General features: G+C 33.7%; 1 protein-coding gene and 1 pseudogene across 88 annotated transcripts in view; one reads left to right on the forward strand and one right to left on the reverse strand.

The window, feature by feature from the left end:
- RIMS1 (regulating synaptic membrane exocytosis 1) overlaps nt 1-18,022 on the forward strand; it is a 516,596-nt gene that overhangs the window by 417,708 nt on the left and 80,866 nt on the right. For 63 of the 88 annotated variants that reach the window (NM_014989.7, XM_017010517.3, XM_047418419.1 and 60 more), the window contains 2 exons: nt 3,001-3,113; nt 9,249-9,415. The exons of the other annotated variants lie outside the window; for them this stretch is intronic. In NM_014989.7, coding sequence (NP_055804.2) covers nt 3,001-3,113; nt 9,249-9,415 — 280 coding nt within the window. The remainder of the gene's footprint in view (nt 1-3,000; nt 3,114-9,248; nt 9,416-18,022) is intronic. 88 annotated transcript variants of the gene reach the window in all.
- On the reverse strand, nt 12,145-13,140 carry LOC100418957 (forkhead box H1 pseudogene; annotated as a pseudogene).

Below are 18,022 nucleotides of genomic sequence, written 5' to 3' on the forward strand. Positions count from 1 at the left end.
AAATACTTTATTTACTATTTTAGTTTTGCTCTTGGGTTTAAAATTGTTAAAATAATATAAAAATTTTAAATGACAGTAATCTTTTTTTAAAGGAAGATATTTGAGCTGTCTGAGTTACAGTTAATTTTACTTATACTAAGATACTAGAGAGACAGTCACATTTCAAGAATTCAATTAACTTTTAATCATTACTACTATTCTCCATATAAATCATATAACTTATTGGAATCGTGCCTTCTGGTTCAAATTTGTGGTAATTGTCTTATTTTATAAATTTGTCTTAATATTTGGCTTGACACATCTGCAATACAGAAATAATGTCATTTTATTCTAGATATATAGTTGAAAAATAAACATGGTAAAATCTTTAGCAAAGTTAAAGAATTTCCACATTTACACTGAAGGTTTTTCAGCGATTATGAAAAAACTTTTACTGAAGCACAATAACTTGTATAAACAGTTATTTCAGAATATGCACTAAGGCACATGTCATTGGGAAATAATGAAAAGTACTAAAAAAAGTGTGTGATATTATGTAATTATTTGGCTTTTTGCTACGAGTAAATAATGATAAGCTATTAGCATTTTGGTTTTGTTGGAATCCGAGAGCAAGAGTGAGGATAGCATAGCAACTACATCTTTGATTGAGAGTCAGGGGAGTCTACTCATCATTTTGAATCATAATGTTAATTTGGAGATTTTTTTTTCCTTTCACAGATTAAATAAGGTCAGTTTTAACTTCATTGGGAGTAAATATAGTATAGTAATGATTTGAGGGAGGTAAAATGAAATCATTTAGAACCATTTTTAGATTCATGTTAGTTGTATTACCAGTCTTTTTATGATTTAGTTTTACATTTTGCAAATAAAGATTTAAATGCAGCTATAGCATAAGCTAAGTAATCCTATTAATGTTTAGAGAAATGAAGTGTTGTCCTAGCAAGGTTCAGTCCCTAGATCTGTGTCAGACTGCTTCTGGCCAGTAGCTATTGGGATATAATTATCCGTGTCTAAGTAACCATCTACCCTGAAAATTACGTGGCACTAAAAGTGAAGCTTGCAAAGCTGTGGGCTAATCAATGTCAACATATTTTTAAATAAAGTTAATATCATTTTATGAGAATAGTTAAGCTAACACCATTTAAGTCTGTTTTTATTACAAATTGAGATTGTTTTGAGTTGCTTTAAGCTTTAATTATAGAGCAGAACTAAATTTGCAGTCCATTTGACTTACTCAGAACTCAAAGCAAATGATTGAGCGTGTACCCAGAAGTACTCACACCATAGGCAAAAGACAGAGAACAGATATTTTCACATTTTCTATATTGCATATGTCTTTTGTAAATATAACTCACATTTTTCAATAACTGTCTCAGTTTCTAATTACTCTTACATAGCATTTTACTGTATAATACTCCTTTTAACTCCTTATATGTTGCCAAGTAATGAATTTCTGAACCACATTGCTCAAGCTCTCCATTGAACTATCCTGTAATGGTAATAATAGTCACCATTTATTATCTCTGAAGTCAACATTATTAAAGCAGGGGTGTATCATTGCTTAGTTTGCATAACTAAGGGTTGTTAGGGATTTGAGATTGGTTATCTAATTTGCTGAATTTAAACAAAGTGAAACATTTTATAATTTACTGATAAAAGTATGATTAAAACACTTAGCCACAAATTCCAAATTTTATTATCTCTTGGGCTATTGGTCTGCACTTGAACACAATAAAAGTTACAGACTGATTTCTTTTTTTAAAGTGTGTGTTGGCGTTTTATAATCAAGGATGATAGGCCACATTTAGTCATTGCAATGGAAAAAAAATTGTCAGCAAATATCTTTATGAACTCCTTGTAAGAGATAAAATCAGCAGCCAAGTCAATCAAACATATCAACATTTCCATTAACTTGTAAACCATTAGTCTCTTGGCAGAAGTTCCCACTACATCAGTGACCAATAAGCAATTTTCCATACACACACACACGCATGCTCACACACACACACACACAGCCCTACAACTTAAAAATCTGAATACTTGTTGCAGAAGTTGAGTTGTCTGGGAAGTTGGCAAATGTTGTATAAAGTAAACATAAGTCTCATACAACATAGGTATAAGCTTTTGAGTCGTTTACCCTACACATGACTGTACCTTAGCTGTTTCTTTCTCCTTCATTTGTAAAAATGCAAAATTTAAAGGCAAGGTTTTGAAGTGATGTTGCTGATGGTGGATTCTAACTTAGAACAATTCATACTTTATCAAAGGCTGCAATTCTTGCCCTCCTCTGCTACTTAGGAGATTAATAAAAGCTTAAAAGTATTCTTTACATATTATAAATTAAAGGGCTGAAAGTCATGTATTCATTTTCAAACTTACGAATTTCATTTATGTGGTCCGGATATAGCCATAAGGAATAGTGAGCTAATCTTTTAGTAAGTCAGTTTTAAGGACTGGGAAATAGTCATGAGAAGCCACGGACAGAAATTAAAGATTTATAAGAATGCCTCAATAAAGTAGATACTTATTAATTAAAACAATTTTTAGGTGACTACTGTTAGCTGAGGGTGTTAAGTGGGTGTGTGCATGCATGTAAGCATGTGCATATAGTGCGATGTGCTAAGTATGCATACTTGTTTTCTCTATATATGTACATGCAACAAACAGTTGTTTAAATTGAAAACATTCTTACAATTAAATTTGGTTTCGCATAATCATTTATGAAGGAAATTGAAAATATTTCATATAAAATCAAGAAATAGAGTATATTTTGTTACTAACATTTACGTTCCCCATTCTGTGTAATTTGAATCATGTTCATCTTTAGATTAACAGTTGCTAGTACTGTATATTCTGCATTTTTGTTTAATTTATTAATCATGTGTTATTTCTAAATTTTATTTAATTGAAGTCATTTCAAAAGCATTGAAATCTTAAACCATTCAGTTCCTGAAAGGTTCTTCACATGTTTTAATAGGCTTCCATTATGTGTTTTTGCAGCAAGCTTAGTAGTGGAGGAGCGAACAAGACAGATGAAAATGAAAGTGCATCGATTTAAGCAGACAACAGGGTCTGGTTCTAGTCAAGAACTTGATCGCGAGCAATATTCCAAGGTAAAATTAGTAGTATCCAACAAATAGTTTCCCTTTTAAAAATGTGTAGTGTGTGTACCAGGCAGGATTAGAAAGCACCGAATTATATAAGAGAAGTTATCATTTGGGCCGGGCATGGTAGCTCACACCTGTAATCCCAGCAGTTTGGGAGGCCAAGGCAGGCACATCACCTAAGGTCAGAAGTTCAAGACCAGCCAACATGGTTAAACCCCATCTCTACTAAAAAATACAAAAATTAGCCGGGCGTGCGCCTGTAATCCCAGCTACTTGGGAGGCTGAGGTAGGAGAATCCCTTGAACCTGGGAGGCGGAAGTTGCAGTGAGCCGAGATCGCACCACTGCACACCAGCCTGGGTGACAGAGCAAGACTCCATCTAAAAAAACAAAAAAAGAAAAGGTATCATTAAATGATAGTCCTGCATCATAATTTCTACCAAAGCCAAAAAAACAAAAAACTCTTTCCTCTTGATATTTTCGTGTGATATAACTTCATTGAAATATTAACTTGGATTTGATTTTTTTCTAAAAATATGTAAATATTTGATATTAAAATCACTTAATGATTGATTAGCATTAGTCAAATTCACATAAATAAGCAAGATATATGAAGCCATTTTGTTGCTTGAACATTATTTAAATATTCCATTTAAGATATTAAGGTATATATTTATAGTCTTAAGTACAACTTTGGATTGATATTTGACTATTGATATTTGTGAATGATAAAAATTATGTGATTTGAGATTTCTTACAGCTCTGTCTTTAGTAAGAAAAGTAACTGATTTCAAACTTCTAGAAGCTGAAATTTACACAATTTCAAGTGCTAATAAGCATTTAATTTTTATTTCAATAATATTTTCTAAGGAAACACCAAGGAGTTTATAAACTGCTAATATCTGATAATTTTAAATAAAATAGCATAGATTTTTGTTCTTCATGAAGTAATTTTAAATATATTATCTGGTTTATTTAAAAGCTTTTTTTCTTTATAGAATACTACAAAAGTAGCAGCAGCCATTATAGGTTGACCTTTGTTGTAATTTAATATCAACAAACTCTTTGGGAGGTAATAAGCTATTAGAAATCAAAAGTAAATAAAACTACACTAAATTAATATTATTAGCTTGAAATATGGACCTAGAAAAACCTACTTATTTTTAAGCAGTGTAAGTGGTTCATTATCTTTCCAGATATTCTGTGACTAATAAAAAAATAAAATAAAAAGAGGTGGCTACAAAATACGATTTATCACCAAGACTACCATAGAGTCATGTGTGTTTGATACAGTCTGTCACTTTACATGTTAGGTTAGATGCAGAAGGGCTTCCAAATGAGACAGTGTGGAGGGTCACTGTGATTCAGTGATGCTCAACTCCCTAAGAGTCTTACCAAAAAAATGGTAAGCAAAATAACCTGATGTCCCGTAGTATTGCCTATTTCAGCTCCATACAGGTTTATCTTGTCTGCAACTTGTTATTTATGGTATTATCACCTAATCAGCCTACTTATCTGTCTTCATAGATATCATCATCGTTTTTGTTTTCTTACTACAAATGCAGTGAGAATTAGAAGGCAGGGTAATTTGGGGTTTTGTTTTCCCTCTACAGTTGGATGCAGTTATTTGAAAGTTTCTTTAAACTGGAAATGCTCCTTTTAAGCTGGAAATTTTTATCAGTTTCTTAGCTTTATTTCAAAAGATGAGGTCAAATAGAACAGCAAGGAGAGGTAGAGCCAGTATAGGAAACAAGAAAGAGGCGAGTAAAGAATCAGGGTAAAATACTGAAAGCCTTTCTGGATCATCCTGAGCTGGGATTCTGATCATTAATTAGTCGATCCAAAAAATCGACAAAATGAAGTACTCAGAAGTCTAAACCACCACTAGTAGTCATAGTAAACCAAAGGTAGGTGTGCAGACTCCAAATTCTCTGACTCATAACTTAAAAACTTGAAAATAACTCAAAATCTTCTACTCCAGCTCACTTATTTACCAAATTTATGACAACTGGGGCTCAGAATGAAAGAGGTAATTAATTAAAATTTGTGTTAAAATTAGTAGAGCCTCTCTGTATAGTGAAGAGGCCTATAACAATGGATTTGGGACTTAGGGTATGACTTTGTTCTACTTACATCATTGAAATGAACACATTACTCTAGATTGATTCAAAGGTCTCCATGTGGCTTTCAATTTACCTAAAAATTAGATTAGCATATTCTATCTTTCCTCCCTCCTTTGCATAGGCACCCTTTTTCTTTTCCTCTCTCTCTTTGCATTTGACTATTTTAAAACCTATTACTTTCAGATATAGTACTATGGCTCTTACTGAATAGATACTACTATGTTAAATAAAATTGTAATAACTAAATATGAGATCAAAGATATGGTAGCTTTAAAAACTTGTAAGAATATAGGATAGGAAATTATATAAAATAAAACAAATGATTAGCCTTTTCTTATATGTCAAGTAGAAGATAAAATACTCTCCACATCTCTAATATTTATATTATATACTAACACATACAATAGAATTTTTTTGTTTTCAGTAGCCATTTTTGTTAATTCAAGCCTTTTGCATATACTTGAGAAATTATCTTTTTCATTTTTATTCTACATCAAGTATTTTATAACTATTTTATAAAGATCTATTTTTATGGCTATAATTAAGAGCCAGTATTGGCACAAATTTTATATTCATTAAATTTTGAACTTTATTCTGTTATTGACTCTTTTTTAGTATCTTAATCCATTTGACATTTTGGACGAAGCAATGAACATTAGTTGAAATTTATGCCAAGCCAAAGTTAGTTAACTATTCTCAAATACTTTTAACCAACCACTAGTAGAACTGGACTTTTTTTCAGGGCAAAACATTGTCAGACAACTGTAATTCCTGAGATGCTTCTTGAAACCTAGTATGTCTTTTAGAAGACTAAATGACCCTAACATCCATCCTGAGTAAGGAATTAGGACTAACTTTGCTTTTGAAAAAGCACAACAATGCTGTTTAGGTATCCTTGAAATGTGTCACCATTCTATTTTTTTTTTATTGGTGGTATACAGAGTGGCATACCTTAATGATGAAGTGAAATTCATAATTAGAGGTGAATTCACATTTAGGTACTCACAATTTAAAGAATGTTTATGTTTGTGTTTATGTAACCCAGGAACAGCAACCGAGAGTGATGTGATGGGTTTTGTAGGTAGCTGAAGAGTGTTTATTATTACTTACTTCTAAAAATAGTAGTGTTTAATTATTTCTCTCACATCAATGACTTATTTGCCCTCTGTAGGATCGGTAGAAATTCCTTCTGAGGAATTATGTTCCTCAAAATATATTTTATGTATTTCCATTAAAATATTAAATTGTTACATTCAAAATTTAACAGATCATGCCTGATGAAATTCAGTGATTAAAATGTTAACATATTAGTTAAAAGTGAATATAAAAGTATTTCACTTTCTTCAAATAATCAATGTGAATAAAACTGTGATATCATATCAGAATGATAGATTATTCTTTATCTCAATATAAAAAATGTATTATGACATAATTTTTGAAATCCCTTTTTGTCCACTTTCTGGAATAACAAAGGTCTGTATACAAAAAGGTTGAAGAAAAGATGGCTTAAGTAAAGCCATCTTTTGGCTTATTTCCAACTAAAAATATTTTTGTTGGAAAAATATTTTCATATACATTCACATACCTTTATGCTTTAGTGTACACTGCTTAATATTGTCAAATATCAAATAAGGGGAGCATTTGCTCTGGGTATCAGCACAATGCTAACACCCAAAACAGGGATTATTTCATATTCTGTCATGGGCAAGGTATCATCCCAATACATTTGGAGACAATAATTACATAGCATCTCTCTTTTAGCACAGTGTTTCAAAAAACCAATAATACAGGAGTTGTGTTTGTAACGCAGCAACAGTGTTAAATTCAGGTTCTACTCTTTGAACATAATTGAGTTTTTAGCACATATACTCTGTAAATTGAAAACAGATCTGATTAAAATGAATTGTGTTAGTCAGAATCATGTTATTAAATATAACTGAATTTGCTGGTAAACCATATTGTCACATTGCTTTCAGTACATTGTCTTAAATCACATTAATTTTAGATCAAACATGAAATCATATAAATATTAATAGCTCAGTTTAGATATAATAACATATGAATTTCCTTTGAATTCTAATTTGGCATATGACTTTGAGAGATAAATCACACAATTATGAAAAATCCTTGGGAAAACTAATTGTATATATATCCTATATGTTGGGAATTATTTTCATGCCTGATATGAAATTCTTTTATCAACACATACACATGAGAGGTAAAGAAATAAAAATCACATTTAGGGAGGCCGAGGTGGGTGGATTGTCTGAGGTCAGGAGTTTAAGACCAGCCTGGGTAACACGGTGAAACCCCGTCTCTACTAAAATACAAAAAACTAGCCAGGTGTGGCACCGTGCGCCTGTAGTCCCAGCTACTTGGGAGGCTGAGGCAGGAGAATTGCTTAAATCTGGGAGGCTAAGGTTGGAGTGAGCCAGGATCGCGCCACTGCACTCCAGCCTGGGCAACAGAGGGAGAATCTGTCTCCAAAAACAAGAACAGAACTCACATTTAATGTTTCAGTCCTAAACTACTCTCATGTAAGAAATTATTAAATAAACATGAGACCTTTCTCTAGGGTAATTTTTAAGTGTTATTGTCTAATCTTCTTTTTAGTACCTATAAATCCAGGTTGTAGCATCAGTTAATTTAGTATGTTTTAGCAAGACAGTTCAAATTCATTAAAATTCCTCTGACATGGAACATCACAAAGGATAGATGACTTTTTCTACAGGTTTAATAAACATTTGATATTTCATACTTTATTTCTCATAAATCTAAAATTAAATTGCTTGCTAAGAAACAAACACCCATATGTTATTTTGTTTTACAGAAGAAGTTATAGTATCTTACCTTCCAGTATCTAAGAAAACTACTCACATTTTAGGTATCTTTCAGTTATTTATAGTTATGTAACCTATTTATTACAATTATAACATATATAAAAATAATATGTAATATATAAGCTATTCACTGTGTGGTTCATCACAATAAGACAGTGAAGTAGAAATAAGAGTAGCTTAACTGCTTTGACAGCTTTGCATATTTTAATCTTTTATTTGATGATTCCTAAAATTTTAGGAAATGAATATCAGAGACAAATTTAAAGGCATCTTTGAATAAAAGATATAATGTACAATGAAATTTTAATAAGGATCCAGTATTCTACTTTTGATTCTAAGTTAGTAGGTTAAATCTGAAACTGTCTAATGAAGCCATAGTAGAAAGCTAAAGACCAGTCACTGCCTCTTTGCTCAGTTTATATCAGCCCTTGTTTTTGAAAAGTTATATATTTTTAAGAAATGTTAGAGACACTATAATGTCTTAGAAAGTATTTAACTAAATTGACTAGTTTTAGAAAGTATCAAAAACTATATACAGGTGGAAGCAGTCTATACAGGTCAAGTATCCCTTACCCAAAATGCTTGGGACCAGAGGTGTTTCATATTTTGGATTTTTTCATATTTTGGTATATTTTTTCTATATACATTATATATTTTCCAGTTGAGCATCCTAATCTGAAAATCCAAAATGTTCCACTGAGCATTTCTTTTACACATCATGTCAGTGCTCAAAAAGTTTTGGATTTTGGAGCACTTCAGATTTTGAATTTTTTGATTAGGAATGCTCAGCCTATACTTTGACTAGAGTAGAAGGTGAATAAAATGGACAAGAATGAAAATGAAAACAAAAAAGAGAAGCGTATGTACTAGAAAAAAAATGAATAATACACTTTTGAGGTTCTAAATATGTACAAATAATTTAATGACTTTTCCAATCAGGCATTTAATGATTGTGTTTAATTTATATTTCAGTCTTCATAAGCCATCTCTTACCACTCAAAGGATAATGTTTTTATATTGGAAATCATATGGTAGTATTTGGATTATTTTAGATATTACAGCTACTCTTATGAAGGTACACCTTTATTTGGTGTGGGCTAAGTAGTCATTCATCTCACCATCTATGTTTTTTCCATTGTCTAATGATGGAGCTCACACTTTCTTGTTTTTAATCTTTAGTATAACATACATAAAGATCAGTACAGAAGCTGTGATAACGTCTCTGCCAAATCATCAGATAGTGATGTCAGTGATGTTTCCGCCATTTCCCGAACCAGCAGTGCCTCACGCCTCAGCAGCACAAGCTTTATGTCAGAGCAATCTGAGCGCCCCAGGGGTAGAATCAGGTGAGTTGGCAATACTGTTTATATAAACTGGATCTTTATCTGTGATATAAAAATACAACTAGCTTCCTGAATATTTTTTCTATAATACAGTTTAGGTCACAGTGGGTTAAGTATTTATCGACTACTATGTAGTATTGCCAACAGAATGTTTAGTATTGACTACTATCAGATACAGCTTATAACCCTAGTCACAATTTTAGAGATCACTCTGAGTCACATTTGTAGTAGTTTCCTCTAATATGATTAAATTCCCTTCCTTTAGTCCAACATCAGAAAGTGTATTCTTTAAAGGGACAGACAGTAAATATTTCAGGCTTTGCAGAACAGTCTTTGTGGCAACTACTCAACAATGTCATTATAGTGTGACAGCTACATAAATAAATCAACATGGGTGTGTGTGTGTATGTGGGTGTAGTGGATGTGTTAACAAAATAGACATCCCTAGTTACGTTATGAGTTGAAAGGCATTTGCGTCAATTTTGTTTAAGTCACCAGTAGTGCTTTTGTATTCTTAAAAGACAAATACCCTGCTGAAAGGGAAAAGACCCCAGACATCCAAGTGCTATCTAAACTAAAGCAGATTGATTATGGACAAAACATATTTTGTATTAGTTCTTTACTAGTTTTCAGAAGTCAAAGTTTCATATAGTTATAGTCGTGTAACCTAAAAATTTATTACAATTTAAGGAATTTTGGTGTTGATGAGAGGTCCAATAAATATAAGTGTTAAAAATATGAACAAACACTTTTCCAATACTCTGAAAGGCTGATGTTAGTGCACATTTTGATGATGTACAATGAATTGAATTTTGAAAATTCTCTCTTGTTTGTTGAAGCAAATTAAAAGTAATCATCCTGCTGTTATTTAACAATTTCATACTCTGATAATCTAACATGAGCAATTTCAACTGATAAAGATATTAGTAGAAAATCTTTTATCTTTACTTTTGGTGTTCTCAGCATCTGACTCTAAAAGAATATAAAGTTCTTTAAAATTTAAGGAAGAATTATAAGAGCTCAAGAATGTAGCCATATTAAGCTAAGATCAAGGGGTAAGAAGTATTCTTATAGATTCCTTTTTATTGAATTCTTAATAAGATAGAATGTTTTTTAAACTGTTGAATTACCAAAGAATGTAATAAATAGGATGTAACCAAGGACTTTTTTTTTACCTTATTCACTGAAAACAATTTGAAGTAATTTTTGTTTGTATTCACTGTAGAGCCAAGTACCTTGAGCCCTATGCTTTAAAGTAGTACTAGTGAATAGAATTTGTATTACTAACCAATTGCATAGAATAACTTGTGAGTTCATTTTCATTCTCCTAAAATTTCAGAAGTAGGATTCTTCAAAAATTTATCTTCCTATAAAATTTGGCTATGTGATTTCTTTTAGAAAGAATAGGAAAACAATGACAAGAGACTATGATTTTATACAAGGAGAATGGGGAAAACTACATGTTAGTAGTGTATTGGAACCAGTGTTACTTTGTGGAGAACATGGCAACTCAACAAATCAGCATGGACTATAACCATATCATGACAAGAAGCAAAAGATAGAGGATTTTTTTGCTTCATTGCTTCGTATGAATTTTCATATTTAGTGAAGATGGTGAGAAGAGGGGTGGACCTAAAAAGAGTATAAATAAACTTCTTAGTGATAAATCTATTTTCTCTAAGCACTTTTTTGTTTTCAGCTTCCTTTCCCTTCTTTGTAGTTTAAAACCCATATAAACTGAGAGTTTATTTTATGTAAGTGGATTATGTAAATTTAAGCACTACAGCTAATAGTTAAACAAGTTTCCCCTTAAGCTAACATAAAGAGCTACTTTTCTTGTAATCTCATACTGTATGTCAGTGATTTGTCATATGCGGTACATATTTGCTCTTAGAATAATTAGGAAGAATAGAGAGAAAAAATAAGATGTGACACGTCTTCTCTTCTGACATTCGTAGACTAGTTATCCCTTCATATGCATTCTTCTGTCTACATATTCTCATAGACACACATGCAGCAGTACACACACACACACACACAGAGACACACAAACACATGGAGTTATTTTGCTTCCCTCGTCAATCCTGTGGTAAAAACCTGAGAGGTGATAGTTTGGAATGATAAAGAATAAAATGACATCAGCATAAAAGCATCAAAGTCCTGTGAACAAGCATTGCAGGCTCTTCAGATGTAAATATTCCCTGCCCTTATAGGTAACACTATGAGGAATAATTTTTCTTAATATATTACTGTTTCTTCTTTATTTTTTAGCAACTAACATCTGCATAATTTCTATAGTTGTTTACTCAGCTAATTAATTATAATGATAGAATATATTTACATATAAGTTGTAATAATAAGCAGCAAAGTTTTTTGTTCCTATCATGTGTAAGGACTTTATTATCTTCTTTTTAAAACAAACAAAACAAAAAAAAACATTGTAAATTCCTGTTATCTTCCCCACCACCATGACCATGTAGGGTCCAGTCTACTCCCTAACCTTTTTCCCAAAAAAGGTGCTACCTCCTTCCCAGACAGATGAGAGAGGGCAGGACTTCAGGCTGGATCTACCATTAGGCTCTCCCTCCCCCAGCTTGGAGCACAGGAGGGGAGGTGATACCTGGTGACAGATGGATGGGTGGTGGACAGAGAAGAGGAGACAAGGAAGGGCTATTCCAGGCTCAGCCCTGCTCCTCCAGCCTTGCCTCTGGGTATAGGGGAAACAGAGGCATGACCAGGATCAGGGTCATGCCCAGCTGGCCACAACCACGCGTGGGGTAGTCCAATAAATACCGTGGATGCTCAGCAAGGCTGCTACCTGGTGTTTTGAGGCTGCTGTGGTTGCAGACACCCTCCTGGCCTTGGCTCCCTATCAAGAAGCTGGGGATGGGAGGTGGAGGGAGGAGGAGCCCCTGCCTTAGGAGCCTCACAGGCTGCACCAAGAGAGCAACCAGCCTGGAGCAGGAGCCACCAGGTCCCAAGCATGGCTGACCCAAATGTCATAGATGCTTTTATTGGGTGGCACCTCCTGGAAGAGGGTGTCTAGATCCCAGAGCAGCCTGGGGGCCCTCTGGTTTCAGAGGCCACTCCCTAGTAGGCAGGGCCAGTTGACGGTAGACACTGGGGACAGTAGGTGGGTGGTGGTGCCAAGGGCATTACCACATTGGGAGTGTAGATAGGCAAGTAGGAGGTGGGCAGCTGCCCCCAGGGGGAGGCCCTGTGTCCCCCACTGGACAGCCACCCAAGAACTGAGGTGTCCTGCAGTAGAGTGGAGAGACCAGGCCCTAGGCTCTGTGGAGAGGGTCGAGGGCCCAGTGGCTCCCTGCTGGGAAGCCTCCCCCTCCATTCTTATGGGGCTGGGAAGAGGGCAGAGAGGCCACAGAGGCCTCTCAGAGGAGGGCAGGGGTGGGGTGGGCACCACCTCCTCCCCACTGCTCCCCATGCCTGAAGGAGCTGGGCTGCTCTGTGGCACCAGTCCCGACCAGGGTGCCCCCTCCCCAGAGTCCCCTAGCAGGGACTTGATGCTGAAGCCCTCACGGGGTGGCAGCAGGGGACTGGGAGCATCTCGCAGCAAGTAGGGCCGCAGGTCCTTGGTGAAGGCTCCACATGCACCCCAGTTCTGCCAGCACCTGCACAGGGCTGTGTTCTGCCACCATAGCGACTCTGCTGGGATCAGGCTTATGTCGACCGCCCAGAAGTTGCCCTTGGCCTGGAGCTTTGCAGGGTCCACAACTATACATTTAGTAAAATTTGGCATTTGATGTCAGTAGGCATAATAATCAGTAAGCATATACTGAAAGGAATGTTCTTCTATTTATTTGAGGATTTTAAAACAATATAGATTAAATTATTTTATATTTTAAGTTGTGATAACAAATATAGAAGTTAATATATTCTGGAATGTCAATCTTGATATTACAGTTATGTTTGAAAAGTGTTATAGAAAATAATTTCAAATGCCCCTTATTTCACAATAGTTCTTCAATTCAGTAAGGCAATACAGGATAAAATTCAAAAGTAATCCTTGGATTTTTGTGATGCATATGAAAATCTTGAGTTAGAGTTATCTATATATCCAATACATGAAGCTTATTATCTACACTGTTCCGAACTTCAATTGCTTTACTACTCTTTTGCCTATTCGATTTGGTATTTACTGAAAATGCTCAGTTAAGATCTATGAAGAGGATTTGTCAACTTCTTTATTATTCTGTCCATTTTTTCTTATATGAGATTACTTAATTAGGTTCAAGTTCAGAATTATTTTGTCTTTCTGGCGATTTAACCTTTTATCATTATGTAATAAATCTCTTTATTCCTTATAATATTATTTTGTTTTAAAGTCAGTTTTTCTTACATGATAACACAAGCTATTTTCAGTTAGTGTTCAATCTAACTATTCACTGTTCACATCTTTTTGTGTCAACTTTTCTATGACCAATGTGTTATACTCACATAAACAGCAAATAGCTAGGTTTAATTTTTTTCTGACCACACAATCTCTATCATTTAATTGGCTAGCTTATCAATTTGCATTTATTTTGATTCTTATAGACTTGGAATTACTTCTATATTGGTGTATGCTTTTAATTTTTCTTATTCTATTTTTTCTCTTTCCTGATCGGTTTTTAATTGAATTATTTTTCTTTCATTTCCCCCCTCCATTACACTGGAAATTATGCAGTTTCTGTGATTTTTACTGACTAGTTTCTCAAGTATATAAATTTTGTTAAGTAGTCAATTTAAAATTAATAATTACCTCTACTTTCTCCTAGGAAAAAAAATGACTGTCATATGCTTCGCTGTGCTACTATCCCTCCCCCATTTGCATATTCTTGTACAATGTTTTAATTATAGATTGGTTCATTTTCCCCTTATTGCATGTTATTTTTTTAAATGCCTTATATTAAACCATATGTATTCTAGTTTCTTTGCTAACCATTTTTCGTGCATCTTAGACCTTCATTCTGGATCATTCTCCTCTCTGAGAAAAGTGCATTAGAAAGCCACCAGTGAGGGTCTGTGAGAGCTTAGACTGAGACACACGTTTTTCCTTGTTGTTCTTTAAGGGTCTTGACTCATGAGGATTTCAGTTCTAACTCCTCACTAGACCTGAAAGGTTTCCAAAGATTCATCATTCACTTACCGACCTGTTTTAGTTCTCGTTTGGTTTTTGGCTAAGGACATATGCCTTTCTTTCTTGTGACCTCAAGTTGGTATTTTAACAGGCATTTGTTGTAATTTTCCCATCATAATTACTAGGCATTTGGAAGTGAAAGGATTTTTTAGAATCAGAATATATCATCTACCATACTGCCAGAAATAGTTCATATTTGATGTGTTACCATTTTTTAAAATTTTTTTTTAAATTTGCTTACTTGAAAAGGATAATATTTAAAAATAATTAATAAATAAGAAAAAACATGTAGGTGTGAAAAGTAAGAAGGATCATGGCCCTAGAGACTTTATCCCAAGTTAGAGGGCAAATGCCAAGGCAGAGCAAGCAGAGTTGGATGTTAAACTGGAAGTAATATCTAAGGGGCTTAAGAAAAATAACAATCAGGAACATAGAAGGAGATGGTGAAGGGAGCCAAGAACTGGAAAACTTTCAGGAAAGAAGAGAGTGCCAGCAGAGACAGGACCATTTCAGTCATGAGGTGTAATGGAAGGAGGAGAATGAAGAACTAATGTGGGAGGTAAAGGTTGATACAGCTCAAACTGAGAAAGAGATTCTGAAGTCTCAGAGGATATTGAATATAAGGGAGAAGAATGAAGTGAGCCTGAAGTTAAGGGAATGGTTAGTGATTGCTGAATAAACAGCATCTTGTGATCAGAGTTCCTATGCCAGGACAATGTGAAGACTACCAGCCTGCCCTTAAAGACTGCTTTTGACTCAGATGTGAATCTTTGGTTCTGTCAGCTATGGCTCAGTACTTCTACTAACCAATATTGAGAGCTTCATTCAACAAGTGTACAACTTCTTTAGACCTTGATTTTTTTTCACTTAGTCATAGATTTATTCATTTACTTATTCACCAGTCATTTATTGGGTACATCTTATACGCAGGTGCCGTACACTATCTAGTATAAAACAAAACACATGATTCCTAGATCTATGTTTTTAGTGGATTTTCATACAAGTGTAATAATAATATTAAATGTATATTCATCTGAAAAATGTGAATCATACCTGCCACTCCTACCTTACCAGACTGTTTGAGAATAAAATGAAATAGTGTATATCAGAATACTTTGAAAATATAGCATTTTGCTTTATAACTCAGTTACTGCATACATGGTATGAAGTATTAGATAAGTTACTTTATACTTTTAAGTCATCCTTGAATGTCTTCTGAGAGACGGCTAACACATAATATAGTGCAACGGCATTTAAAATTCGAATTTTGATTACTAATATTTAACTTATCCACTTCACAGTGCTTCATGGTGAGTTGGATGAATTTAACAGTTGGATTTGACACTTGAAGAGTTCAGTTTTATTCGAGTGTTTTTCAAAGTTATGCCCATGGACTGTTGGTGTTCTAATGAACCTTATTGTCTCCAAGAATTGCCTGATAGACAGGAGAAAGTTGTCCAAGGAGCAGGAGAAAAACTAAACGGGGAGGAGAATTCCTAGACTGCAGGACTTCAGCAACTTCAACTAAAGCAGTTCTACTAGTATTTGTTTAGTACAACAGAAGTCTGTGAAGTAGTTTATTTTTAAAAAGGAAGCCAGGCACTGCTGCTTTAAAAACATATTGTAAACCAAAATATATGGCACAGTAAATTCTAGTGCTATTACTTCCAAGGAGAAAATTAAAATATGAGATGTGGTTCTACTTCTCTAGTTATTACCTGTTTTTAAAATTCAGATAGTACCATAATTTGGCTGAAGGATTATGCAATGTATAGTGAAACTTCAGTATAATACACTAAGAAAAAACAAATTCCAAAGAAAAAGAAAACTACTAGAATGTTCTATATTGGTCTTAGTTGGTCTGTTTTTCTACTATATATTATGTTTATTATACACTTGGTATATGAGATAAATACTTATTATTGTTTTTTAGCATTTTAGCTTTAAATAGCATTATATAGATTGTCCAGGGAAATATATATTATTTCCAAGCTCATTACTTCAGCTTGTACAGTTAATAGACTTTATACTATGCTTTTTTATACTACTCTTGATATATGTTCAATTTAAAGCAATATAGTAAAATTTTTAAAGTATATTTTTACTTTATCTTTTTTATTCATTTAGAAAGTCATCATTTAAAGCTTTGTTTCTTTACTCATTTTAACATATGATTACCTTGATTTCAGCTAGACTCTCTTAAAGCATAGACATGATAACCAAGTGCGGATTGATTGATATTTGCTAACTGTATACGTACTACTTATGCAGCATAATGAATAAAGAAAGCATAGACCTTGATGTATCCTCAAGATGGCATATATGCTATTTCCTTATAATTAGTGGAAATATTTTCAAAGCTTTCTGAATCACTAATACAACAAATTAGTTGTATTATTTGTTACTTTGTAAACTACAACAGATATATCAAGGCAGCATTTGTGTGTATTCATCTTTAATTTTATGACTTTATTATTTGTGACTCATTTATATAGTTTTATGGTCCATACATGATGTAAGTAATTGTTTTCTCATGTTTTGGTATTCACTGAGTATGTATATCAGCTTTTGTTTAAGTATGCATTTGTTTTTGTATGTGTTGCATTTACAATAGATTAGAAATACATGAGCAGATGTATTCTTAACTGGTTACTTGTAAAACAACATTTATTAGAACAAGTATGAAAACATTATCGGCTTGTTTAGTATTTTAACAGAATAATTATATGCTTTTTACACCATTATCCACCCAGTTCCCAAATCAAAGAACTGGAAGCCACCCAGATTTTTACCTCTCCCCAGTCCTCTTCCTAATTCAATATTTCTCAATCCTTTTTATTATCACTCCCCTAAGGGATCTTTTAGGTGTTCCTTTCCTAATTGCCCTCCTTACATGAAATTTTAATACTAGAGACATACTATTTATATACTGCAGGCCTTTGGAGGACCACTAACCATTGTATTATCTAAGATTTTTTTGTTCCCTCTACCTTCACCAAGAATCAGTTATCCCCTTCTGGGGACAGTATCACTCCCAATGGGAATGCATGTTCAAATGAGTCATCAAGGCCTACTCATTTTACTTCTCAAAGAGAACTCATGATCACAGATTTAAAGTTACAGAGAACAGATGTGTTTACTCACCTCAATTTTATAAGAAGACTAAAAAGACTAAAAACTCCATCTAACATGAAACTAGGATTTAACCACATCTGTAAATAATAAGCTATAGAAAGCAATTTTCAAATTCAGTGAAATCTGAACCAAAATGAGAGGAAATGCCAAAAATAGTTGCTTACTTGTTCAGCTATTGAACAGAATGTGAAGCTCTCTAAAATAAATGTCACAGCCTTAAAAAGTCCAATGAAAAATTCCCTTCTAGAATATGTAAGAGCTAGGGGAAGTTTTAGCCCTGGAGCACCTTGAAACAGTATTTTATACCTCATAGTAGCAGACTACATGGACTCAGAAGA

The sequence above is a fragment of the Homo sapiens genome, chromosome 6 (assembly GCF_000001405.40).
Source record: "Homo sapiens chromosome 6, GRCh38.p14 Primary Assembly".
Taxonomy (NCBI): domain Eukaryota; kingdom Metazoa; phylum Chordata; class Mammalia; order Primates; family Hominidae; genus Homo; species Homo sapiens.